The sequence below is a fragment of the Homo sapiens genome, chromosome 1 (genome assembly GCF_000001405.40).
Source record: "Homo sapiens chromosome 1, GRCh38.p14 Primary Assembly".
NCBI lineage: Eukaryota > Metazoa > Chordata > Mammalia > Primates > Hominidae > Homo > Homo sapiens.
The window spans coordinates 214308523-214335154 of NC_000001.11; the positions used below are offsets into that span (position 1 = coordinate 214308523).

Genomic DNA, 26632 nt, shown 5'->3' on the forward strand with positions numbered 1-26632 from the left:
GTAGAGGCTCTGCTTAAAGGATAAAACGTGGCACAAAACAAGAGCAGCGATGAGGAAGGTAATTGAGTGATTCTCCACCTAAGAAAGCATGGCCTTCAGCTGCTAGTAATTAACTGGTCCTTCCTCAAAGGTAGGCCCTACCCCCCTGGAGTCATCAGGTGGTCAGTGCCACACAGCAGATGGTGGAGTTGGGATGGAGGTTATCGAGTTCAATATGTCAGTAGATAAGAAAACGTAGTCCCAAGTGGTTGGGTGACCCAAGATCACCCAAGGTCAAACAGTGGCAGAACAGAGATGAGACTTTACACACTACTTGGGGAGGGCTTTCACCCCTTTACAGTAGTGTGCTTGGGAGAAGTGAGGGCCCTCTAGGAAAGGAGGTTCTGTGGGAATGTCAGAGAAAGAGAAGTGGCCTTCAGTGGATGTGAAAGGGGAGAGCTGCGTCCATTGTTGCCTTGGCCAGACACCTCTCCAAGAGTGCTAAAGGCTCACATTGCTTCCTGGGGATTTCCTCTTTACATGGAGTAAGGCTTCTTAGGGGATCCTAGCCATGGTGTATGTTCTCCCCAAGCCCTCTTCTGTCTGCAGTGCTTTCGGATTTTGCTTTATTTGATACAATTTGGTTCTATCTTGTCCCGTTACTTTCCTCTTAGTTCACTTGACTCAGTGTGATGGTGCCAGAGGAAAGATTTTAATTGCTAATGCATGAAAGGGTAATGGGAGGAAATACAAAAGAAACAGAAATTCCTTTTTAGTTGGGTGCGTTATTTTGTAACCTGTGTGTTTTAATGAACTGTATTTATTTTTCTAAATACGCCTGGGAAGCAAAGTATATTACTCATTCACCCACTCACCCATAAATTGTACCAGGATATTTTCAAGAGAAGAGTTTTAGAAAGTTGTTATATAGAATAATCATTGTGCAGTAGGACTTTCTAGGGTATATTTCTTAACTCTAATGAATGTAAAGAAGAAAACCTTTGTGTTTTGCTGCTGAGGGGGTTATGAGTAAGCTTTGAAAGTAGGAAGGGATTTTTTAAAGTGTGTATGAGGAGCATGTGAGAAAATAGTAGGCCCTTATCATTGACTAGAAAATAACTGAAGTATAGAACATGTCTAATAAATGCTGCTGTTATGGGTGATTAGTGTAATGGGGCCAGAGTCGTAGGTTCAATCCTGGTTCAGTTCACTCCTGTCAGCCATAGGAAGCATCTTAAATTTGGGCCACTCTTTTTTTCTAAATCTTTAACATCACCAGTAGGAAGAAATGTGTGTGAATGACTGAGTATGTCTCATTGCTTGTATTGGGAAAACACAAAGCATATGTCCTAGTGATGGTAGCTCAGCAGCACGGGCCATCTTTGTATAAGGTGGTCAGGTGTCCACCTGATTGCTTTTGCACACTTCTTCTCAAGGATCATGCTAGTGGAAAGCAGAAATCCTGTGACATTTTCTCCCTGTTCCACATTTTAAGAAATAAGATGTGGATGTGTACAGGTAGGCTGTGTTTGTTGTTAGAAGAATAGAAACACCAAATGCTAGAGGCAGAAAAGGGACTTCATGATGAAAATCCAGTCTCCTTATCGAGGAAGGCAACATATTTGCTCAGCAGAAAACTGGATGCCATAATAATCACTCTTTTCTTCCAGTGCTGGAAATGCTGGTGCACCATGAGACAATTTCGCAACTCTTTATGCATCTTTAAGCATTTTTGACTGTGCACGAAAGTGAAAGTCATGCACAGTAGTTATTATCTTAGTTGAAAATGAATTAGAAGTTTTAAAAGAGGACCATCAGTATGAAAAATTCCATATCTCACCTTTTTTATGGATTTAAGTTACACAGTCTGTCCTCATTATGGGAAAATCAGAAAGTGCAGACTAAAAGAACAGAACAAGTATTCATAATCTTGTTCCTTGAGAGAATACTTTGGTATATATCTTCCTGAATCCCTTCTGTGCTTATATGTGTATTTTATTAATTTTTTTTTTTTTTTTTTGGAAAATGAGATCCTAGTTTACAGAAAATTTTATAAGTATTGCAGTCAGGGCAGGAGCACTAACTCGAATTTTGAAGAATAGTGGGAAAAGTTTTAGAAAAATTGATAACATTTAAAAAAGCATAAAGAGTTGCAAAATCACTCTGTATACAGCAGTACTGCCAGTATTCAAAAATACGGTAATTTATAACATTCATTCCTATTCATCAGGTTAGCCTAATTTGTTTTTCAATTTTGTCCAGTCTGGTTGCTTGTAATTTCTTATGGGCAAAACTAGGGTAGTTGCCGCTGTCAGGTTCTTTAAAATATATGGACCATCTCTATGATAGAAGAGAATGTATCAAAATATGCTTAAAACCTGACATTTTTACTAGATACTATCACATCTTCCTTTTTTAAGAATTAAAGCTGTGCAGTGCCATTGTGTTATATCTCTGCCCTTCCTCCGTTAATCCACCTTCAAAAAAGAAAGTGAAACGTTATTACTGTGGTAAATTTCCTTTGATGAAATTTAACCTGATTCTGCATTTTCTTGAATTTATCCAGCTACCTGATTTTAACTGCTATGAGCGGGACTGTATTTAATTGTAGGTGTACTTTTATCTTGGTTCTGACATTGCCATAAACTGCTTGAAGTCAAAGACTTCATCTCCCATCCCTGCCTCTAGGGTCAGTTGCAGCACTTGTTGAATGAATGAATGAATGAATGAGCAATTACCAATGTTTCAGAGCGCAGCCTGTGCCGGGCACCGTTCTGAGTGCTTCTTGTGGATCTGCTGATGGGATCCTTTGTGCCTGATGAATGCCTGATGATCCCTATTTGGTCCACTTTTGTTGGTAGTCTTCAAGCTTGATATCTGATTATCACTGTTGGAAGGTGTAAACTCACAGACTCAGAATTCTGGACTTGCTAAGTAACTTAGGGATCATGTTATTTACAGCCAGGGAGACAGGCGCAAAGGGATTAAGAAACCTGCGTTGTCACACAGCTGCTTCGCTGCGAGTGGGGATAAAATGCAGGTTTCTTGAGTCCCAGGTCAGCAGCCCTCCTGCTTGACAGCACTCTGCTTTCCTCCCAGAGCTTTCCTTGTGTTTGATTCCCTTCCTTTTGAGGACATTTATATCAATAAATGTCACCATTATGTAGTATTTACAGTACCATTAATTTTAAATCAACTACATTAATAAATTGATATTTTATAAATAATAATTATATTAATAAATGTTCATATTTAACTTCCCAGGAATTCATTGTAGTTGCTAAACACCAAGGCACCACCTGCAGTTCAGAAAACAACAGCTTGCAGGCCCGTTAGGGACAGAGATTATGTCTTGGAGTTTTCTTGGAGTTGCTGGAGTCAGAGTGGGCATTTGTCTATAGTTGTTAATGATCCATCTGTCCCCAGCTGGTAGGTCCCCATATCCTCTCAGGTATCCCGAGGGTCATCTCTGTCTTTTCCTCTTTGCTCTGCAGCTGAGGAGGGAGCTGATTAGTCTGCAGGGAGACAGACCCACCTGTTCCCACCTCTTCGCCTCATCACCATGCTCTCATTTTAGGCTTTGGCTAAAAACAGATTCTCTTCTCCCTTGTGCATATCTTGTCATTTCTTTTCCTCCCTGCTCTTAGTTATATTTGGCGCGGCATTATTTAACTCTGCAGAACATCTTGGCCCAGAACTTGAGCTAAGGGGCTGCACCATAGACTGCATTAAATCATTAAGTGACATTATGTGCTTCCTTCTTGGGGGATCAGTGTGGAGGGAAGCGGGTAGGGAGATATCTTCATTCCTTCAACAACTATATTGAGTGCCTACTAAATGCCAGGCACTGTTGTCAGTTCTGGGGTTACAGCTATGAACAAAACAAAATTTCTTTATTTTCCTGGGGAGAGACAGATACTAAACCAAACAACTAATAAATATATAATATGCTCAGGTGGTGAGAAGTACTAAGAAGCAGCAGAAAGCAAGGAAAGGAAGAATGATGGGGAAGTGCTCTTTCTGACAGGGTGATTGTGGCAGGTATCTTGAGAAGGTGACATTCCAGCAGCGGCTGGAGAGGAGGGAGGGAGTCACATGGATATCCAGGGGAGGAGAGTGCTAGCCACAAAACAGAGCAAGTGCGAAGGGCCTTGAGGCAGGTACATGGCTCCAGGCGCAGCCAGGACACTTCTGTGGCTAAGTGCAGTGAGGCAGGTGAGAGTACGGTGGGGGATGATGGGCTGGGGTGGTGCAGGGACGCTCCCATCACGTGTGGCCTCCTAGGTCACCTTTAGCGCTTGGCCTTTTGCCTGGATGAGAAAAGCCATTAGGTTTTGAGCTGAGGACTGGCCTGATCCGAGTTTTGTCAACAGAATCCCTCAGGCTGCTCTCTGGAACCTAGTCCATGGGAGCAAGGACAGAAGCGGGCATCCAGTTAGAAGGCAGTGGCAGGACATTAGTCATGAGAGATGTTGGGGCTGCAGCCGGGTAGAAAGGTTGTGGAGCTAAGAAGTGATCAGATTCCAGGCAGAGACAGAGGATTTGCCAGAACTGACTGAATGTGGAGTGTGAGTGAGAGAGCAGCGTCAAGGATGACTCTAGCTTTCTGGCCTGAGCATTTATTTTTATTTTTGAGACAGAATCTCACACTGTTGCCCAGGCTGGAGTGTAGCGGTGCACTCTCGGCTCACTGCAACCTCTGCCTCCTGGGTTCAAGCGATTCTCCTGCCTCAGCCTCCTGAGTAGCTGGGACTGCAGGCACATGCCACCACACTTGGCTAATTTTTTTATTTTTAGTAGAGATGGGGTTTTATCACGTTGGCCAGGCCAATCATAAACTCCTGACCTCGGGTGATCCGCCCATGTCAGCCTCCCTGCCCTGAGCATTTATGGCCATTTTCTGAGCTAGGGAAGGCCAAGGACAGAGCAGGACAGTACCCAATTCCATCGTGAAAGAGACAGTGTGTAAGGGCTTCCATCAGTATACAACGTGCTCTGATATTTCCCATCTAAAAAAAAAAAAAAGTCCCCCGCAACTTTTCACTACTCTAAGCTGTGTCTCCTTTCATTTTTTCTTGAATCTGCTCCCTGTCATTTCTTACCCCATCATCCCACCAAAACTTGTTTTTATGAAAATCATCAAGCTTCCATGATTCCAAATCACATTCTCCGTCCTCTCACACTAAGCCTATCTCCAGCACTGGCATCATCATTTACTCCCTAGTCCTCAAAGTACTTGCTTCCCTCAGCCTCCAAAACACCATGGTGTCCTTCTCTCAATGCCTTCCCCATCTCAAGTGATGGCGCCTCCACCCTTCCAGCAGCAAATATCCTTCATCCCTCTACCCGGGGCAGGGAAACTTCAGGGCGTATGATAGAAAGAATACTACTGTTAGGCCAGGCACGGTGGCTCACGCCTGTAATCCCTGCACTTTGGGAGGCCGAAGCAGGTGGATCATGAGGTTAAGAGATCAAGACTATCCTGGCCAACATCTTGAAACCCCGTCTCTACTAAAAATACAAAAATTAGCCGGGCGTAGTGGCACACACCTGTAATCTCAGCTACTCAGGAGGCTGAGGCAGGAGAATCACTTGAACCCGGGAGGCAGAGGTTGCAGTGAGTCGAGATCGCGCCACTGCACTGCAGCCTGGCAACAGAGCGAGACTCTGTCTCAAAAAAAAAAAAGGAAAGAAAGAATACTACTGTTTTATCCAGTGCATCTTTGGGAAGTCCTAACTATTCCTAAATCTTTCCAGTGGTTGCCCTTCATGAAACCCTCATTTGTGCTTTTTAAAAAGTCGCCTGTAAAAGGGACTCATTGCTGTGTAAGTCAACTCTCCATTATTTGCCCTGACGTGAGAACAAAGCCAGAGCGGAACTGTGAGGCAACAAAGCCAAATCAATGGCTGATACTCAAATTGCTCCCTCTGCAATTTGACAGCTTGCACAGATGATGGAAAGATGTATGTGTTGTTTAGAATAATGAGGGGCTGCAGAAAGCCATGAGGTGCTTGAGGAAAAAACACAAAGTAGATCTTCTCATCCCAACAAGCTTGACCCAGGCCTGAGTGAAGGTCATACAATCCTGCCTATCTTAAAGGATGTTTTTATCTCTAGCTTTTGTGAGCATCCTCGTGTTTTCCAAAAGGAAACATATTTTACTTGACCTTAACTAGGGGGACTCACTGCATCCTCTCCTCTCACACTTTATTCCAGTGTATGTGCTATTTTTTAATAATGTTTTTTTCAATCTTCCCAGAAAGAAGATTGGCCCATGCACAAGCTGGAATGTTCTCCCATGGTTGTTTTTGGGGAAAACTGGAATCCCTCGGAGACTGTAAGACTAACAGCAAGGATTCTGGCCAAACAGGTGAGGAAATGGGACAATGTTCAAGTGCATTTTATTTTGTTTTTCTTTTAAAGGTCAGAAAGATGAGTAACTGACCTTTGGTAACCATCTCTCGTTAAACATCCTTAGACTACATTTCCTATCATATCCATATGGACAGGGGTGGGGAAAATACTCCAGGCATAATCTAGTTAGTTGTGTGCCCTGTGCAATTAGGATGTTGCTTACCCTAGACCAGGAGCATAGCCACAGCTCTGAAATTCTGAGCTGTTTTCATGACAGGTTTACATGGAAATACGTGACATGAAAAGCCTGACCTCAAATAATTAGAGCTTCCTAGGGAACCAGATTGGTCTGAGCAGCTTTGAGATTTTCCTCTCTTTCCATTCTGACATAAAGAGTGTACTCTGTTCCCCTTTCCTGTGTAATATTCTGCTCTTTCTTGGCTCCTTTCTTGCCTGTGCATAGGCAGGCAAAGAATTGGATGGAACAGCCTTGACTATGACATGTGCAAAGAAGAGAAAGAGTGGAAAAGTAGAAATAGAGGCAAGGGAGAGGGGAAGAGAGTTAAAAAAAAAAAGTGAAGAAGAAGGAAAGAAAGAGGTGCCCTTGATGGAAACAGATGATAGTCATCAATGGCTTTCTCCAGAAGTGATGCCAACTCTGACTATTCTGTGGTGGGCAGGACTATGCAAACTTACGCTCAAAGAGTGAGGAAGCTGAGAGACAGAAGAAAGAAGCTGACAAATCCAGTTTATTAGAAACATTTACTAGGACTTATGAACTGAAGCCATGTCTATGTCTTGGGCGGCAGCAAGACAAGATGGTGGATCCCTGCACCATTACCCACCAGAGCCAGGGCTTATATACCATAGGGAAGAAATGTGTACAGCAGTTACAAGGAAAGGCAAGGATGCTATGCAAATCTGCCTGAGAGCAAGATTTGTGCTCAAGATTGTATTGACCTAAGGCAGGATTTAAGGTAGCCATAGACAAAGTAGAAATCTTAGAAGCATTCCCAGAGCAGGAGTTAACCAGAAATCAACATGGTATATCAGCATCCAAGATGAAATTGCTTTAGCCACCGTACTGACTGTTCTCCGCCTGGTCTGGTTCATTCTTGCTGATTGCATAATAATTAGACACCTAATCTTCGAAGGGCCAAACTAAAAAGAGGACAGGAAAATGCCATAGAACTTGTCCTTGTGATCCAATGAAATAGGCAGTGTGGGGCTTAGAAGGCATATGTCCAGGCTGTGGAGGTCTTGCTCCTCAGTGCTGTCAGAGAAGTTGGTGGCAGGGCCTCTGGACTATAAATCTTTTAAAGCTGAAATTTTGGCTGGGCATAGTGGCTCATACCTGTAATCTTAGCACTTTGGGAGGCCAAGGCAGAAGGATTGTTTGAATCCAGGAGTTCGAGACCAGCCTTGGCAACAAAGTGAGACCCATTCTCTATAATAAATTTTAAAAATTAAAAAAATTTCCCAGGTGTGGTGGTATACACCTGTGGTCCCAGCTATTCTGGAGGCTGAGGCAGGAGAATTACTGGAACCCGGAACTTCAAGGCTGCAGTGAGCTGTGATTGTGCCACCATACTCCATCCAGCCTGAGCAACAAAGTAAATGAGACTCTGTCTCTAAAAATGAAAAAAAAAAACAAACTGAAATTTCATCCACTTCTCCTGTATACCTACCAGCCCTCCTCCACCCTTAAAATTTTTCTATTTTTTAATCTAAGCCAAATGTGATGGAAATGATTAGCATGTATCTGTCCCCAGACCAAGTTAGGATCCTGGGCTGTGTAAACAGAAGTAGAACATTTCAAAACTCTGAGGTCATCCTTCAGCTATGTTCAGCTTGGGTCAGGTGCTTGCCGAAATGCTACCTCGCCAGCCAGCCGAGAGTAACAAAGGCCATTCATGGGTTGCCTGTAGAGTGAGACCAAAACATCAGAATTGTTTCCCTGCAGGAGGTTAACTTTCGGATCCTTAATAACAGTTATTTTTAAATTTATGCAGAGTATTTGGGCTGAATAAGTCAGAGGGAATAGGATGACTGGGTGTGAGGTATCAGAGTCAGTAAGTCATCAGATGGGATCTCCGCACATCTTGGGAGGATTGGGTGGCCAAGCTGGTGTTTTATTATTTTGTTCCCCTGAATTATTGATGATATTTATAGTGATATGTTAAGAATTCAGAAGAGGCTGGTAGACTTTCCTGAATGAAAAGCTTTCCCAAGCGAGATGACTTATAAATCTTATAAAAATGCATCCCGTGAATGGAAGATTTCTGCTCCAAAAAAGAACTATTGAAATATTTCGGCACCAGGAGGGTAGTCTGAATGCAAAGATGAGTTTATACAAGCTTCATTCAAGTTTTATTATAATTACTACTACTACTAATAGTGTATTAAATGAAAGTTACCTGCCCATCTTTTCATCTCTATAGGACTTGATGATTAAAAAAACAGACCATTTGTATTCTAGTAGCTTGCAAAGGATTAGGGGAGACAGGCTACCAAACTACCAAGGGGAGGCTTAACATGTTAACTAGGGAGGTGAGCGTGCCCTGCTAGACCACCTGTATCCCCAAATTGAATAGCCACATTACAAAGACATGGCCTTGGGCCAGCTCCTGAGCTCTGCCTTTGAACTCTTGTCAACACCAAGTTTATTCATGTTCTCAAAGCCTAGCGGGTTTACTATTGTTAGCTCCTCTTGGGGTGTCTAGAACAAAGCCAGCAACGCGTTTAAAGTGAATCTGGGCTCACAGATACAACCAAAAGTGTTCTTTTTGAAACACAGAATTTGAGATCATTTTAGCCTATGCTTAAAGAAAGTGTAAAATGGATGGGGGGTTTGATTTTGTTCCTTTTTAGAAGGAGAAATAATAAATAGGATGGTTTGTCTGTAGACCCAGTCCTTTTAAGTAAGGACCCTAAAAAGTTGTTTTCCGGCCCTGTTCTTTCCCGTAACAGGTATTTCTGAGCCTACTGTGTGCATAGTATTATCAGGGTGTTAGGTACACGGTAGACATTTAAAAAAGCGCTTTAGAAGAGTCTTTGGATTTGGCTGGTGGAGAGCCCTAGTGGTGGAGTCCTTGAGTAGCTTGTTTTACTTCCTTAAGAATTGTTACTTTTTCTTTATGTTGATGTAAAAGTGAAAGTGCCACTTTATTACACTGGTTGTTAAAAAATCTGTATCTGTGTGATTTCTTCCCCAATTGCTAGAAAATCCACCCAGAGAGAACACCTTCGGAAAAATTGTTAGCTGTGAAGGAGTTTGAATCACGTAAGTCTTTCTGTGACCAGCCGCGCAGTTCTCTCAGCCACAGATTTCACATGGGTTGGGCAGGATTGAAGCGAGGACGGGCTAGTTTGTGCTCAGAGGAGTAGTGATTTCTTTGATTACTAGTTTTTATTTTTACTCTTGTGCTGTTTCGAAAAGCACTTTTAGCTTTTTTCTTCTGAGTTGACAGGATTGTTAGGAAATAATTAAAGGAGGTAGGAGCTCCCAAAATGAATTATTGCACCCTGAGCTACCTCCTGCTGGCCCTCTTGGCATGCTGAATACTTTTGGATCTTTGCTGAATTGCGTCCTCTAAATAGCTGATGTTCTTACTGAAAGCCGTGAAATCAGGGGTTGTCCAGTTGTTTGACCACGGCCCAGATTCCCGGGCCAATTGGGGGGCCCTTGACTAGGCTGAGGCTGGTTATGAGTCATTGCTACCCATCCCTGACCTCATTGCTAACAGTCAGTCGAAATCTCACGTCCCAAGTGACTTCTAGTCATCAGAGGGAGAGAAGGAAGAAATGGCTTGCTTTCTTTCCTTAGGGTTTGTCAGTTAAACCAAGTAATGGGGAAGAATGTTCTCTGGGGGTTCAACATGTTAGTTTTGGGTTTTTTTTTTTTCGCCCGTTCCTTTCCTCTGTATCATTTACAGCAAAAATAGGATGTAGCTAGAAATCCCACGCTTTCTACTGGGTGAATAATGGATTATTTATCCACAGATCTGGATAAGTTAGACAATGAGAAGAAGGATTTGATTCAGAGTGACATAGCTGCTCTCCATCACTTTTACTCCAAGCATCTCGGATTCCCTGACAATGATAGCCTCGTAGTACTCTTTGCACAGGTAAGGACGCTGGCAGCAGGTAACACTCAGTCTGGCCTTTCCCTCTCCAAGGCCCTCTCCCTAGCAAGCACTCAGTGAAGATGAATGCAAATAGAATGATGGCATCTTCCTGACAACGAAGCTCTGAGCCAATTGGACCGTGTGTTGCCATAGCCTTGCTCAGTGACCTTGAGCAGATCAAGGTCCCCTCTGCTGGCCCTCATTGATGGGTGGAGTGTAGGAAATTCGCCTCTGCCTCTGCCTCACAAAGAGTTCATGAAAACAAAGGAGTTGTCAGTGCCCTGGTACTCTGGCATACTTTAAGCTCTTTGCAAAGAAAAGACCATTTGAAGTTCCTACATTAAATTTTACTTTTACTCTCTTAAACCTTCTGTTCTATCTGTAGTGTTTTTTCACTCTAACCAAGGCTGCACTGATAGGAGGGCCCTTTGTGATGGCCCGAGGAAGGACAGTCACTGCCGAGAGGAGCCCAAGTGGGTCTAGATGTGGAAGTCTTTCCTGATGGTGGCTAAGAAATCTTGTTTAGAGAAGTCTAGGTTTACCAAAATCAGATCTAAGGAAATCTTAGGCTTCTAAGCAAGAGCAATTTGAAAGTGATTACAGCTTTGGAAACTAGGCCACTGGCAAGGCAAGCCTTGGGCATTGTTAGGACGAGAGAACAAAGGGTGCAGTGGCCATGCCTCGGGGAACACACAACCTTCCTGTTATCGTGAGGGTGGCTCTTCCTGGCCTGACTTACTAGATTGGATTTCTCTCTCATATGCCTTTGCGATGCCCTCTACAAACTGGGCATCTAGTTTAAAGTGACCTTCCCAGGTAGAGAAATATTAGAATTCTGCTCCATGGGAGCAAGAAGCTACATCAGTCTCCGGATGTGTAAAAGAGATGAAGTGGACACCTCCATGGTTTTGTCTTAGAATAGAATAAGCATTACCTAATGTACCCTTTGCCCAGTAACTCTGTTTGCAGGAATCTGTCCTAAGGATATAATCAGAAATCATGGACAGAGATTTACGTACAAATTGTTTATTGTAGGATTCTTTTAAAAGCCAAAGGCAGAAAAGAAAGAAGGAAGGAGGAAAGGAGAGGAGGAAGGGAAGAAGAAAAGGAAAGAGGAAAAGGAAATACTATAAATGGCCAGTAGTGGGAGTTTGGTTACATAAATTATGGCATCTCCATGTGATGGAAGGTTACATAACCTTTATAAGTTACGTTTCACGACTGTCTAAACTTGGGAAATGCTGATGACATAACATTAAGTATCAAAGCAGTATGAAAAGTATGAAAAAAGGGTATAATACGAAAACACACATACATAACGTAAAGATTAAGTGGAAGTTCACAGTTGTCTTCCGAGTTGTGGAAAAATTTAGGCTTTTTACTGGGTGACTTTCTGGATTTTCTACAGTGAGCATGTATAACTTACAAAAAGCATGCTAAGAAGGAGAAAAAGGCAAAAAGCACACACTTTAAAAATTACACACATAAAGAAAGTGGCCAGGCACCATGGCGTGTGTCTGTAGTCCCAGCTACTCAGGAGGCTGAGGTAGGAGGATCACTTGAGCCCAAGAGTTCGAGGCTGCAGTAAGCTGTGATCAAACCACTGCACTTCAGCCTAGGCAACAGAGAGAGACCCTGTCTATAAAGAAAAAAAGTGAGTCATTCATCACTTCTGCCCACTTCAGCTTCCCCCCAACTGTGAACAACTATTAACAATTTATTGAATTCTTTTATAAACTTTATTTAGATATATTTCAGTTATGTGACTGTCATAATCAGAAAAATATGCGATTCCTTGTAGGTGAAAAGGTGGCTTCAAGTTTTGAGTGTTAAGGTAGAAGGAATAAAAGACCTTTCTAATTTTCATATTATCCTGGGTTTAAATTGTACTTACCTAAGTATCCTGAGACAATAGATTTGGCTGACAATGGGAAGTGAGGAATCAACTTCTCTTACATTTTCTGAAAAAATGAATACATAATTTTTTCTGGATTAGTTTATATATGAGAAAGCAGAGAGATGAAATAAACATAAAGTATCTACTTTTCTGGCTATGGAAAAAGATAGCTTTTCCTCTAACACAGTGATGCATGCTTATAGGACTTCTCAATGTTGATGCCGTAGTTACAGGACCATATTTTCATAACCAAAAATCAAGTGACTCCATCTCACAAGTAGAAGTATATTTGTGGTGAAAGTGACTGACTCTTTGAAATATGGACTGACTCAGAAAATTCAGAACATTTATATACCTTAAAAAATGTATATATATATACACACACATATGCATACACACATACACGTAACTATAGAGAATTAATTCCTTTATTGACTTTATCAAATAAGTATACATTTTGAGATTACATGTGAATACAAATAAGTATACATTTTGAGATTATTTGTGTTCACACAAATACACACACATATAATTTTTTCATATGTAAATTTGAAAGGGGACATTTACTATCCCCAAAGAAAACTCCAAAGCAGAAATGCAAAGTGCTGCTGCAGCCACATGCCACCGGTCCCACCTCTCAGCCAGCAGCTACGTGTCTGCTGTTCCAGCCCCTGAGCCCTTTCCACCGTCTGGTCCATGGGAGGCTGTTGTGGGTTACCTCGAGACCTGGCAGCAGCTGGCAGCAGAAGGTGACCACACATCTTTGACAGCATCGAGGTGTGTTCTAATCACTGGGAACATATGCATGATTGGGAAGTGTATTTTTGGTGTGCAGCCTACATCTAGTCTAAATGCTAATTATGAGAATAGCTTTTGCAAGGTTCTTACACCTGATTTGACTTCAGAAAAAAGACTGTGGACCATGCATGTTTCTTAACATGCAAGTTCACTTTTCTTCTCTAGGGATATTTCAGAAGGGAAGGAAAGCTGGCAGGAAAATTGCTATGTAAGTAGGCTTAAACACCATCACAAAAGGAACAGTAATGACTCTTAGGCTCATGGGAGCCTTAGCTCTTGAAGAAACACAAGCAGTCTTCCACAGTAAGAGGAGCCGGGAAGGGAATAAAGGGACTGATGGTCATAAAGTGATCGAGTCTGACTGGTCTAAGTGGGCTTGCTGCAGAGGAGGGACTGAAAAAGCAGAGAAACAAGAATCTCATCCCCAAAGTAGTCAGAAGCTGTCTGTCCCTAGATCAGTTTTGAAAAGTGTTGCAAATTTTTCTGATTCATTGTTTCATTCTGAAAACATTTGTACCAGAAACTGCTGAGGCGTGGTAGTACTCAGTCTGAGATGATACATAGATCATTTAGAACCCAGTATAATACCGGATACAGGTCATGCTCCGGTAATTTTGTTGAATGAATGAAAACTTTAATTTACTCTTACCTAATGTTGGTTGATGGTCATTGGTTAATGGTTGTTAGTCAATGTCTGTGTGACAGAATTGGTCAGGGTACTTAGAGTTGGCACAAAAAATAATATGCCAAGTCTTCTACTTACACATGCCCAACCCCTCAGGATTTTAAAGCCTATGTATTATTTTACTAATCCACAGTACCCTCCCATTTTCTGCTTTTTGTGTTGAATTGTAAATACTGCAAGTCAAACCCATCATATAGCTCTTATTGCTTTGTATACCAAGATTTTCAAGCCCCTGCGTTTGGCCCTTTAATGTTAAGCAAAATAACCACATTAGCATTTAGTAGATCTGACCAATTTTAGAAGGAACATGGTATAGTGTGAAGAAACCAGAGTTGCTGTTCAGAATGCCTAGTCTGAATTCTGGCTCCTGTTCTGCCACTTATCATTTACATATCCTTGAGCAAGTCACTTAATCATTGAACCTTCCTGAGCCTCAATTTTCACATCTGTAAAATGAGTTGCTGTAGTAATGCTATAGTGATATTGCGGATTTATGGGATGGTAAATCTGAAGTACCTAGCACAGTGCCTGGCCCAGAGTGAGTGCTCAGAGGATGCTAGTTTTACAAAGCCCATCTGTTGGCCTGAATTGTAACAGTGCAGTGTCCCCAAGTGCAGAAGAGAGTGGGGTGGAATCGTTCAGTGTGAGTGCCTCACGGACAGAGACTTCATAGCAGCGTGGGACAAGCAGGGGTCTCAGCCTTTGTCACCAAGTATCTTTGTGACTGTGGACAAATCATTGTTCCTCTCTGACTTCAGTTTCGTCCTCTAAAAAGTAGAGTCTTAGTTTTCTTCCAGTGCTGAAATTTTAGAGACATGAAGATCACCTACCGAATTGTCTCCTAATAGTCTGATTTTCTTTGAGGCCACAAATTTTCAGCCTGTTTGTCTTTCTGTTTGTTTTTCTGTGCATGGTGCCCAGCATGTAAGGGCTCCCAGTACATATCTGTGGAAAGAATGAGTTTATAGAACAGTACATAAGTTAGGCATGTATAGTCCTCATTTTCAGCCTGCTTGTTCTAAGTTAGGCTTCCAGAATGGTGAAAGTTGCCCTTGGTATTTTTCTATGCAACATTTCTTTTTTTTTGAGATGGAGTCTCACACTGTCGTCCAGGCTGGAGTGCAGTGGTGTAATCTCGGCTTACTGCAACCTCCACCTCCCAGGTTCAAGTGATCTTCCTGCCTCAGCCTCCCGAGTAGATGGAACAGCTGGGATTACAGGTGCATGCCACCAGATCCAGCTAATTTTTGTATTTTTAGTAGAGACAGGGTTTTACCATGTTGGCCAGACTGGTCTTGAACTCCTGACCTCAGGTGATCTGCCCACCTTGGACTCCCAAAGTGCTGGGATTACAGGCGTGAGCCAGCGGGCCCGTACAACGTTTCTTTTAAAGGGTGAGAAGGTGGCCTGTAGGTGATTTGGCTGAGACTTGAAAGGCAAGGTCTCAGTGCCTTAGCTTTAAGCCCTCAATCCCTCTGCCTCCCTAACAGAGAGAGGGATAGCAGTTAGATTAGATGAATAAGGGCTTCATATTTACCACCTCACCTTATGAGATGAGCATTGGATTGATTCCTTTTTTTTGAGACAGAGTTTCGCTGTTGTTGCCCAGGCTGGAGTGCAATGGCACAATCTTGGCTTACTGCAGCCTCCGCCTCCTGGGTTCAAATGATTCTCCTGCCTCAGCCTCCCAAGTAGCTGGGATTACAGGCATGCGCCACCACGCCTGGATAATTTTGTATTTGTATTTTTTTTTAGTAGAGATGGGGTTTCTCCATGTTGGTCAGGCTGGTTTCGAACTCCCGACCTCAGGTGATCTGCCCGCCTCAGCTTCCTAAAGTGCTGAGATTACAGGCGTGAGCTACCACGCCCAGCCAGATTGATTCTTTTCTTTAAAGACACAGTGATTCAGTGATAGGCTTAAGATCATACAACAAAGCTGTAGCAGAATTGAGATTAGACTCCAGGTATCTTAACTCCCATGCAAGTGTGCAAACGTCAGTCCTCAGAGTCTTGGGGGTCTTTGGCGTGCCTGGACCACTGTATTTAGATGGTAGGTAGGCTACACTAAGGGATGCATCACAATTCTGCTTGTTTGTTTATGCATGGAACTGATAAGTAAATTTTGTTTGAACGATAACATGGGCAAAAGAAAGGGTTTAAAACCACTACACCAAAACATCTTCCTAATTTGTTAAAAGTCAAAATTTAAAAAAATGATCTCTACCCAGAAAGAAGCTCCAGCTCATTTTTTTCCTTTCTCCCTTTTTCTTGCTGCAGGTTAACTGTAATGGCTTCACAATTGAAGATGAAGAACTTTCTCATTTGGGATCAGCGATATTTCCTGAGTAGGCTGTGTTTGACTTCATTTCTTTCCTTTTTACTTACTTAACACTAATTTGATTTTTTTTTCATTTTTAAATAACCCACCTAACTGCATGTGGCAGACATGAAACTCAAAGTGAATTAAAACAGCTTTTTAATCTGCCAGATTTCAAAATATTTCCCCTACACTTAAGGATCCAAAGGTAGTAGTTAAGAGAACAGTTGCTTGTTAAGTCCTGCTAGGCAGAGAGCTGTTATTAAAGAATATTTTATAGCGCGCATAGAAGGAACAGCTCATGCCCTGCTGAGAAATTTGCTTTCTGCCTATCTGTGGTTCTGGAAATCTTTCCATTTCTTATGCTCAAAGTGAAACATTAATTGCCAACCAAGAATTGGCCACAAGCTTGAGTACAGACTATATGAGCTTCTTCTCCATCTGTCCTTTTTGATAAATACCAGTACAGAAACAGCACAATTTGGAGGGAGAATATGCTGAAGTAGTGGGCCGGATAAAAATTTCAAAGAACTGTAGGATTTTCTCTGGATTTGAAGAATACTTGAGTAATTCAGCAAAGGCTAGCCAGTTGACAAATGGAGATCTTTATAGATCTGACTTTAATGGATTGCCAAGAATGATTTTGCCTTTGTCTGTCTCATGGAGTGAGTATTTCCAAAATGCTTCAGTCCCTGAAATCAAACCCTTGCTTCACAGATAGAGCCAAGGAATTCATCATGCATCCCCCCAGCCTCCAAATTAATCCACATTGTAGATAAGTTCTATCCAGAGGGAGGTTGCTTAACATATACTGCAGGGGCCTTTGCCTGTAGGTTGCCACATAGGTAGGAAACCCTTAATACTCATGCATTTGCCCTGAGTGATGTGCCTGCCCTTAGCTATGTGCGTCTCTGCCAGACGCTGTGCGTTGTGTAGGTCAGAAAGAGAAGAATCCGTACAGTCTGTGTCTCGTGAGCAGCTGTCACAGGTTTACTTGAACCAGAGAGACTAAAAAGTTTGTTCATGTAATATTTGTCCTTGGGGCCAAAATGGCATCATCTGCAGTTGGAATTCTGGAAGTGAGGAAAGAAGCTTTTTTTTTTTTTTTTTTTTTTTAACTTTGGCCCCTGGGAAAAGGCAGGAGAAAAAGAGGGCATTGGACCCACTGAAGAAGGCGTGTATTGACACCTTTATAACTGAAATGAACTATGGAATGTCTCTGTTCTTAATATCTTAAAAGACTAAAAGATTAAGAGTAAGGTGCTGCCGGGCACGCCTTACAGGTGTGGTGGCTCACACCTATAATCCCAGCACTTTGGGAGGCCGAAGCGGGCAGATCACGAGGTCAGGAGTTGGAGACCAGCCTGACCAACATGGTGAAACCCCGTCTCTACTAAAAATACAAAAATTAGCTGGGCATGGTGGCGCACACCTGTAATCCCAGCTACTCAGGAGGCTGAGGCAGCAGAATCACTTGAACCCGGGAGGTGGAGGTTGCAGTGAGCTGAGATCGCGCCACTGCACTCCAGCCTGGACAACAAACCGAGACTCCATCTCAAAAAAAAAAAAAAAAAAAGAGTGAGGTGCTTTGAGGATTCTCACCTGTCAGTGGTTGCCAACAGAATTATGATACCAAGAACATGAATTGTTTTAGGGTCTTTGACTTAGTGCATTTCCCCCACCTTCATTAAAGAGATACCCGAGTCTGCCTTCAGCTATTTAATACTTCCGCAAGATGGTTTTAGAAATGTGCTTTTATTTTAATACAACTACCCTTCGATGCATTTGTTTATTTGATTTCCTAGGACCTGATTCCTTGGGCATCACTTTCCAGGAAGCCAAGTGGGCCTTGGTGCAGTGCAGAGGTGGCCCTCCCCGAGGTCAAGACCAGGAAGCTGCTACCTGTTTATCTCAGGCACCAGGCTAACCACATACTTTGCTTAGGCCTTTAGCAGCCAGGAGGTGGGGGAGTGCACTTGGCCATAGGCCATAGCCAGCCTGGGGCAGTTCATCCTCATCAGGCTTCGAAACCCCTTTCCCTTTTTGTATTCTCGGAGCAAGCAGGAGAGGGGCTGTGGTCTCTGGAGGGTCAGGGAGGTGACATTGGCCACCAGAGCAATGACACACATGGCTGTGAGTGCCCGTAGGAGCATGAGCCCCAGTTTCTGGGCAGTTTTAATTGGGGGAAAAAATCCCTTTGGGCTGAAATCATATCAGCATTGTGATTTCAAAGGCAGCATTTTCAGAGATCAAGCACTTTTTCCCTGTAGTTTAGAAATTTCTGTTCTCAGAACTTTGACCTTCATATAATCAGAAAGCTCAAAGCACCTCGCATAGGCGAATCTCTCTCTCTCCTTCTCGCTGTCCCTGAAAAGCAGACAGTGAGCAGCAGGAGCAGTAATGTCCCAATTTTCCAGATGAGGAAATTGAGGTGCAGAGAAACTCAGACGGGTGTCTCCGGGTCTCTCAGGGGATCACACACCCTTCCTCCCTTAGGAAGCTGGCATTTCTCAACATCTGAAAAAAACGTGAGAAATAATCCACTAATACAAAAAGCTGCTTGAAAGCGACAACGCACCTGTGTTTGACAGTGTATAGTGAAGTAGCAATTAGCTGTGGGTATTGGGTTCTGAGAGCTGCATTCTATCAGGGAGGAATATTTGTGGCATTTGTTGTTTTTGCTGTTGTGTGTTTTTTGGTTTTGGCTTAGATAGTACTTGAATTGTGGATTTCAGTTTTTAATATGGTGAAAGTGTGAGATGGTAGATAGGATTATCAGTGCATGCAGAACAACCTCTTAGAATGTGATAGCCAACTATTAGATTTTTAAAAAATGTCTTGCAAAGATTCAGTTCCTCTGACTTAGCAAGTAAGTAGTGAAGGAAGCTAAACAGTCTGCCTATCTCATTTTAAAAACTGGGTTTTCTCTTCTGACTGACAGTGTTGCATTGATGAATCATAGCTGTTGCCCCAATGTCATTGTGACCTACAAAGGGACCCTGGCAGAAGTCAGAGCTGTACAGGAAATCAAGCCGGGAGAGGAGGTGAGTTCATGGCTATGGGTGGCTGCAGCAGGGGGCTTGAGACTGCTCTTTAAAAGGCAATGTGGACAGATCTGTGCAGTGTCACTTGACAGTATGAGTTGTGAATGCCTCCAGCAGTTTAGCTGAGTCTGCCCTCAGGCTCTCCAGGAGTCAGTGATCAGATTTGTAACCTGTAGTTTAGATTCCCACACTTTGGGGCTTCTGTTTGGTACATACATTTCCATCTCTGGTCAAGAAAAACAGGAAGTAATAAATTTGAGTCAAATTTGTCCCAAAGCTTTATAGAGATTTACAGAGAAAGAAGACATTTACTACCAAAATGACCACAGTCAAACTTTTGATTATCTTTAGAGTCTCTGTATCCCTATTGCCAAACAACTGAGCTTGAGCCTTATTTTATTTTATTTTTTTTGGTGAATTCTTGCTTGTTCCCCACCATCCCTCAAAGGTCCAAAGCAAAAGAAAGCAAGCAACGCAGCAGTAGCTAAAGAGCTGGCACTCCAAGGGACACATCAGAATTTCGTGTTCTATCAGTTCCACATCTGAACTTCAGGTCGCAGTTCACTTTTTAGGAATCTAAATCAAAAGTCCAGGTATATGCAGTAATAGGAGAAGTCAAGGCAGTCTGTGGCCAAGGGGCACCTTAGTTTCCCTCCTCAGCTTCAGGACGTGGAGAGAACCAGTCTTCCCATCACCTGCTCAGCGATTCCCTGTTCCCTTCCCATGTGTGATTCCTGACTACCTCATGAGACGTCTCACCTGGGAAGGGCTGGCCTGATGGATTGCTGTAGTATGCTCTGTGTTCTTAAGTAAATTCCCAGCAAGACACATGAGTTTTTAGGAACTTGTAATCACACTTGGGTTAATTTCAGTTTAGCAATTTGTAATGCTATTTTACGGTGCATGCCTGGGTATTTGAAGTGTGAAGTGTAAAATATAACTGTCAGCGTGCTGAATGACAAGTGCTTTGCTTTCTCTGGAAGGCACTCACTAATCCACAGCTGCACTGGGAGCTGAAGCCCAAGATGCAGGCAGGTTGGCCCTTCTACCTTCAGCTAAATCCATTACGATGAGGGTGTGTCCCCTTTCGGCTGGGGTGTCTGAGTTTCCAAAGGTCTTATGGAGACTGCTCTGAAGCCTTTCTTGAAACAGATAATTGCAGCCAGTCAGAATGCAGTCACCCAGGCTCCAGTGCACCTGTGGGCTGACTGCAGAGATGAGCAGGTTGTCACCTAAGCTGGCTCAGTCTGGCTGGGAGCAGTGGTACTGGAGTGGCCTTTGTCGCCATCTTCTGGAAGCTTCCGCATGTTGCACTGTGAGTCAGTCATTACAGAGATTGTTGGCAGGCTCTTGTGGTGTGAGGCAGGGCAGGGGTGGCTGCAGTTTCCTTTTGCCCTTATGTTCTCCCAGATCTGAAACGCAGTAACCTCATTTTTGGGAAGTCAGTGCTTTGGGGATTACTTACCCTTCAGAGAAGGAGAAACCCCATTCCCCAGGGTTTCGGGGTGAGCTGCAACGTGTCCAGTACCTCCCCATGGGCTGGGGAGAGCTTAGCTGCCCCTGCAGCACCCAGCCCTGTGCGTGTCCTCCCCTGCCTGCCTGGTGGTGCCCGTGGTCACTGGCACGCTAGCGGCTTCATGAGATCCATCTGTTCAGTCAGACATTTGCCTGATTGTGTGGGATGAGTAGCCAGTGCTGTCCCAGTGAGTAGATAATGGACATCTAAATGCTGGTCTCCTCCATATGCTCCAAGCCTTAGTTACAGACCCCATTAGGAAAAGGCAAGGACGGTGGAGCCCCATGAACCAAAGGTAAGGACTTTCCAAGCTCGCTGCCCTGCAGGATCAGGAGCTGCCCGCTGGGCCAGGCCGCAGCATTCTGGTGTCCTAGAAGATGTGTTCACCCTCCGCTGGCCACCCAGAGCTGTGGGTCCCAGCCCACTGAGTGGAGCCTCTTGCTCCATTGCCAGTTGATGTGAGGAGAAGGGGAGCTTAGCTGCATGTGTGTGGTGTGTGCGTGCTCATGCCCTCCCCTGCACGCAGCATCCAGTGATGACGGCAACGAAGCATTTGCGCCGTCTCAGGTGGTGAAACATGAAACTACATGAAGGCCAGGCAGAGGCAGCTGAGGGAGGCAGGGATCCTCTGAACCCTCCAGGACACTGTTTTAAGGACTCCTTGATTCTACAGACTCTTTCCACTAACCTGCACCTTGGCTTCAGCTCCCAGTTCAGCTGTGGATTAGTGAACACCTTCCAGAGAAAGCCAACGTCAGGTGGCTGCTCAGTTCAGGAATTCCGTGCCTTAAAGTAAACAGCGCATTCCTCCGCTGCAGCCCGCCTTATCCTCTGCATGGGCCCTGCAGGTGACTGCAAAGGCACGGGAATGACAAGGATTGAGTTTACCTGTAGCAGACTGAAGCTTTATCTTTTTGGACCCCGTAGGTTTTTACCAGCTATATTGATCTCCTGTACCCAACGGAAGATAGAAATGACCGGTTAAGAGATTCTTATTTCTTTACCTGTGAGTGCCAGGAGTGTACCACCAAGGACAAGGTAAGGTTGTTCATTGGGCAAGAGCGCTGACTGCACTCTGATCTCAGGACCTCTCTGCTGAAGAGCTTGTCTGACTTGGCGGATCTCCTCTAGGATCTTTTTGACCCTTTAAACCCTCCTTACAAAGACAGCCAAAGGGAATCTAGTTAGACCAGGTCTCTGTTCAGACCTGCTCCTAGTAGCTAAAGAAAACATTTCCATTACACTGTACAAACAGGAGAAAGGTCTGCCGAACTGCTCTTTCTTGAAAAGAAACAACTGCTCAAAGGAGGAGGGGGGAAAAGCACATGAGTATAATCTCTAGGCTTTCCAACCTGTTCACCAGAATATGTGGAAGTTTCCCTGGCATTTTCCAAATTGTTCCGTCAATGCCATCCTTCCTTATTCTAGTCTCTTGATTCGTAGATGTGTAAACACATATATCTGCCCATAGCCAACACATTTTAGATAAGGAGTATCTAGAAAATTAATCTTTTTGTTTTGTTTCTGTAAAAAGGTAATGGAGTACTGAATTTCTTCAGATGCATTGCCTGATTTCCTTTCATTCTTTTGTAACCTTGGAATGGGCCAGTGTCGACCGCTGTGTGGGAATGTGTATTATATGAGAGGTTTCCCTATCAGTGTGGTTTCCATGGGCGGTAACGCCTTGCCCTTGTGGACGTTTCCTTCAGGATAAGGCCAAGGTGGAAATCCGGAAGCTCAGCGATCCCCCAAAGGCAGAAGCCATCCGAGACATGGTCAGATATGCACGCAACGTCATTGAAGAGTTCCGGAGGGCCAAGCACTATAAATATATCCTTTACAACTGCCCTGATAGCTTATTATCCCTCGCCAACAAGGCAAGGTGGGAAGTTGGAAAGAGGGAGCAGGAGAAGGATGGATTTAAGATTCTGAAAACCAAAGGAGGAATGTCTCCTAGTAAATGTGTAAAGGCGTACTGACCACCCACAATGTGGTGTCCATCCTGTTGGAGTTGTATGATTTTATTTCCCCTTATTTTGGCTAGTTTGGCTGGGAGCCCCATGTGGTGGAGGACCATGAAGGACAGAGCCTTGATGGCCTTGTGCTTTGGGTATTTTACTTTGGGCAGGGCACAGTGCCAAGGGCCTTGCTTATTTCAGCTCTCCTCACTGGCACACTCTGAGCAGGGACTCTGCTCATTCCCATGCAGCAGATGAGGAAACAGCCTGATAGATATTAAGTAATTTGCCCAAAGGACACAGCTGATGGTGATAGGATCTAGGATTTTGTCCCAGCTCTATCAGAATCCATATTCTTAACCATTGTATTGTAGCATTTTCTTGGGAGTTGAAAAGGGATTCGATTTGTACTCTAAAGGGTAGAATTTAAAACCAGTGAGAGGAAATGAGAGAAAGGCACATTGTTTCTCAGCATAAGAAAGAACTTTGCCACAGTGGGAGTCGTGCTCAGGGTTCCAACTTGGGTGAGGATTTGAATTTGATTAGAATCGTGATTTTAATCAACATTGTTTACATCAGAACTAGGGGTCTGGACCCTGCGGCTAAAATTCTTGAGTTGAGCGGTTCCGACCTTCAGGTTTTCTTCATTTGTTTTTTCTGGAGAAATGTAATTCCTTTCACTTTTGCTTGGCTTTCTGTAAGTTACTTTTTCATGGGGTAAGGGTGAGAGTGGAGTGGACGAAATAACTCCTTGAACCCAGCCTGGGGAAGCCTCCAGGCAGCTTGGGCCCGGTGGCCCTTTCCTTGACTCCACAGCACCCCCTAGTGAGCTGCTGGAGATCTGCGAGCTCAGCCAGGAGAAGATGAGCTCTGTGTTTGAGGACAGTAACGTGTACATGTTGCACATGATGTACCAGGCCATGGGTGTCTGCTTGTACATGCAGGACTGGGAAGGAGCCCTGCAATATGGACAGAAAATCATTAAGCCCTACAGGTGATTGCAGAGGCTGTTCTAATCATCCACGGAGTGGAATTTGGTTGTTTAGAATGTATACGATAGTGTCATCTTCCTGCCCATTGCTGAGACTTGCCTAGCGCAGCTGCCTCTTCTCTGCACCCACATCTGGAGGTGCTGGTGCAGGGCACTGCTCCCGAGTCAGGCCTGTTCTCACCATCATCCCAAGGAGACAGGTTGAGGTTATGCAGCGGATACTGGGGCAAGATCCCTCCCAGGTCCATCCAGGGCCATATCCATAGTAGTTAACTCAGGCTAGTTTTGAGAAGCCACTAGTTTGCTTCTTTTCCCACCCACTGCTTCCAAGTTTAATTACTAAGTGGTGGTCTCAGAAACCCTGGTTTTCATCATTACTCACACCATCCCCTTCTTTTGCTTTTTCAAATTACAGCCCCAGTTTGCAAATGGGGAAGCTCTGGGACCAGTGGGTTGACCGTGGTTATCTAATCTCCCCACCCCAGGTTTGGAAAAAAGAAACAAAAATTGCTTTTTAATTTGTAGTAATAATGAATATTAGCCCTGGAGAGATTTCCTGCCTGAGAGGGTTACTAAACCTAAAAGTGGGTGACAGACGGAAGTTGTGGCTTTGTCCTCTGACTCGGACTAGACACTTCAGGGCTGAGGTGGCCTAGATGGGATCACTGGAGCTCTTTTTAAAGGCACTGATATTATGCATTTACAGGGTACGTCCAACACCAAGTGGGCCAAGTGAATCAGGGTCGCTGGGCATTAGACCCAGAAATCTGTGTTCTGGAAGCATCCCAGGTGTTTCTCAGGAGTTTGAGAAGCCCTCAGTCTCCTTCCACTTCCGAGATTAGGGTCTGTGAAGGTTGTGTCTGGTCTGAATGTCCACTGCCCACTCCACCCTCTACTTACCCCACTGTGCCCTGATTAGCCAGCAGGGGGAGCCCAAAGGAAGCCAGCTCTTAAAATCTGCTCTTGGAAACAGAATTTGTTAAATTGGGGATAAACTCAAACCTTCCTTTTCTCCTAGAGTGTGTGAGGAAGTGCACTGGCCTCATGCGCAGTTCTCTGTGTGAGATCTGTAGGGAGAGAGGAGCAGACAGACAGCATCCCAGCCCTGTGGTTCTCCCAGCAGGGCCTTGCTCTGCTAGACCCATCTTTATCTGCGTGAGCCCCTCCCGGAAGCCCAGCTCTGGTCTTCTGTGGGGCCGTGGGTCCCAGGGCTGCCTCCTACCCAGGAATACAGCTAGAACATGTCTTTTTGGACTGACTTTCAGGAGACACAGGGTGGAACAGCCTAGCCTTTAAATAAACACCTCTTACACACATGTAAACACACACACTGGCTCACCCACCAGCTGCCTCTGGGCCCTGTTCTTAGGGAAATGGCTGTTTCCCAGGCAGACCCCATCAGTCAGTCTTCAGGTACAGCCGGAGAGAACACTTGCTGTATCTAAAGCCCCTGCTGGACAATGGGGAAAGAACATCCAGAAGACACAGGAAGTGTTCTGACTTCAGAGCACTTAACTGTTTTGCTAAACCAACCCATATCATAGTGTGACAGAAAGCTGGGGTCTTAAGACACATTGGGGTGGGTGGGGGTTGGGTGGGTGGCTGTATGTCTGAGTACCTAAGGTGATAGGCCTAATTGCTGCCTTCATAAATGGGACATTTACTTCACAAGCTGTTTTCCCAGGGTCTTCCTCTGGGTATGTCTGAAATATAAAAATCTGGACTGGGATTGAAGATTGTGTTTACAAATGCTTTTGAATAGGATTTCTCCTGCAGTTGTTACGTAGCTTTTCAGAAACACACAAACTACAAATAATGAACAACATCTGCAATGATTCGGCAGGGTGGCAGCATCCACGCTCTCCACCCAAACCCTGGTGGGATTTGGAGAGGCCGCTGGTGGGCAGAGGTTGGCCCTAAGCATGGCAGCCTCCGGCTTACTGCACCCAGCCTGTGGGGCGGCTCAGTAGCCGCTGACATGGTGGCCTGTTGTCTCTTCTCTTGTTCTAGTAAGCACTATCCTTTGTACTCCCTCAACGTGGCCTCCATGTGGTTGAAGCTAGGGAGACTCTACATGGGCCTGGAACACAAAGCCGCAGGGGAGAAAGCCCTGAAGAAGGTATGTCTGTAACTCGGCCTTAGGATTCCCAGTGGCCAGATGGCCTCCTTAGCGCACCTCCTTCATGCCTCACCAGGCTGAATGGCTGAAGCAGTGGAGGGTGAGCAGCTCTCACCCACCCTCTTGCCGTGGGAGCAGCGGGGGTGGGTCCTGCAGGTGAGGGGGGAGTGAGAGAGTGCACCTCTGCTGTGTTTGTGTCCAGGCCTCCCTCAAAGGGAATGGGTGCCCACATCCAGAGGGCTGGCCGTGATCACAGGCCCAGCCTGTGCCTGGAGGAATTCTCCATTTGTTTGACCTTTGGGATTTTCAGAATGATGATCCCCAGTTGTGAAATCAAGGAGGTAGGATATGGAGAGTTAGGGTTAGGATGTTAGAATTGCGCATTTGCTGTTTCTAAAATGCACTTAATCATCCTCTCAGTTCATTGAGGACCAGTTACATACCAAGACCCTCGTGTGCTTTTCCTTTGAATTCTCACAAAACCGAGAGGCTTTCCTGATGAAGAAAGTGAGGTTCAAGCAGGTTTAAGTGAGTAATAGCCTAGGGTACATGGTGGGGCCTTCATTCAAATGAGGGTCTAAATTGAAAGCTTCGGCTCCTCCCACTCAAGCTGTGATGAAACTGGTGGGGAGCCAGAACCCTGGGCAGCATTCGCCTTTGGTTTGATGGCGGCCCTGTGCTGCCCAGGAGCCAGGCCCCGACCCTCACATCATGGGAGGTCAGAGTCATCATCCTGAGTATTGATTCTCATTGTTTGTGATGTGGAATTCACAGTCAATACAGTGTAATTTAGGGGATAGTCCATTTACTCCTGTAAGAAACTTTATAAAATGCTGGGGCCATGGA

At 44.4% G+C, this 26632-nt stretch overlaps 1 protein-coding gene across 3 annotated transcripts in view, besides 6 other annotated features; it reads left to right on the plus strand.

The window, feature by feature from the left end:
• The window catches only part of SMYD2 (SET and MYND domain containing 2), a 55973-nt gene that overhangs the window by 27364 nt on the left and 1977 nt on the right, over positions 1-26632 (plus strand). For 2 of the 3 annotated variants that reach the window (NM_020197.3, XM_047425700.1), the window contains 9 exons: positions 6240-6350; positions 9557-9617; positions 10337-10461; positions 16119-16186; positions 19100-19202; positions 21646-21756; positions 22428-22548; positions 23496-23670; positions 25678-25786. In NM_020197.3, coding sequence (NP_064582.2) covers positions 6240-6350; positions 9557-9617; positions 10337-10461; positions 16119-16186; positions 19100-19202; positions 21646-21756; positions 22428-22548; positions 23496-23670; positions 25678-25786 — 984 coding nt within the window. Of the gene's footprint in view, positions 1-6239; positions 6351-9556; positions 9618-10336; positions 10462-16118; positions 16187-19099; positions 19203-21645; positions 21757-22427; positions 22549-23495; positions 23671-25677; positions 25787-26632 lie in introns of those variants that run through there. The other variant, XM_047425702.1, reaches the window with a different exon arrangement.
• Positions 7980-8483: an enhancer, noted in NCBI's record as "OCT4-NANOG-H3K27ac hESC enhancer chr1:214489845-214490348 (GRCh37/hg19 assembly coordinates)". NCBI's record gives its function as "activates a minimal SCP1, AML or CMV promoter by ChIP-STARR-seq in naive and primed H9 embryonic stem cells {active_cell/tissue: H9 hESC(naive and primed)}" and the evidence as "EXISTENCE:reporter gene assay evidence [ECO:0000049][PMID:30033119]".
• Positions 8484-8987: an enhancer, noted in NCBI's record as "OCT4-NANOG-H3K27ac hESC enhancer chr1:214490349-214490852 (GRCh37/hg19 assembly coordinates)". NCBI's record gives its function as "activates a minimal SCP1, AML or CMV promoter by ChIP-STARR-seq in naive H9 embryonic stem cells {active_cell/tissue: H9 hESC(naive)}" and the evidence as "EXISTENCE:reporter gene assay evidence [ECO:0000049][PMID:30033119]".
• Positions 8988-9491: an enhancer, noted in NCBI's record as "OCT4-NANOG-H3K27ac hESC enhancer chr1:214490853-214491356 (GRCh37/hg19 assembly coordinates)". NCBI's record gives its function as "activates a minimal SCP1, AML or CMV promoter by ChIP-STARR-seq in naive H9 embryonic stem cells {active_cell/tissue: H9 hESC(naive)}" and the evidence as "EXISTENCE:reporter gene assay evidence [ECO:0000049][PMID:30033119]".
• Positions 20324-20618: a silencer, noted in NCBI's record as "tiled region #1006; HepG2 Repressive DNase unmatched - State 12:CtcfO, and K562 Repressive DNase unmatched - State 12:CtcfO". NCBI's record gives its function as "represses a minimal TATA promoter and a strong SV40 promoter by Sharpr-MPRA in HepG2 and K562 cells {active_cell/tissue: HepG2 | K562}" and the evidence as "EXISTENCE:reporter gene assay evidence [ECO:0000049][PMID:27701403]".
• Positions 20324-20634: a biological region, named in NCBI's record as "Sharpr-MPRA regulatory region 1006".
• Positions 20545-20634: an enhancer, noted in NCBI's record as "active region_2531". NCBI's record gives its function as "activates an Ori minimal core promoter by ATAC-STARR-seq in GM12878 lymphoblastoid cells {active_cell/tissue: GM12878}" and the evidence as "EXISTENCE:reporter gene assay evidence [ECO:0000049][PMID:35858748]".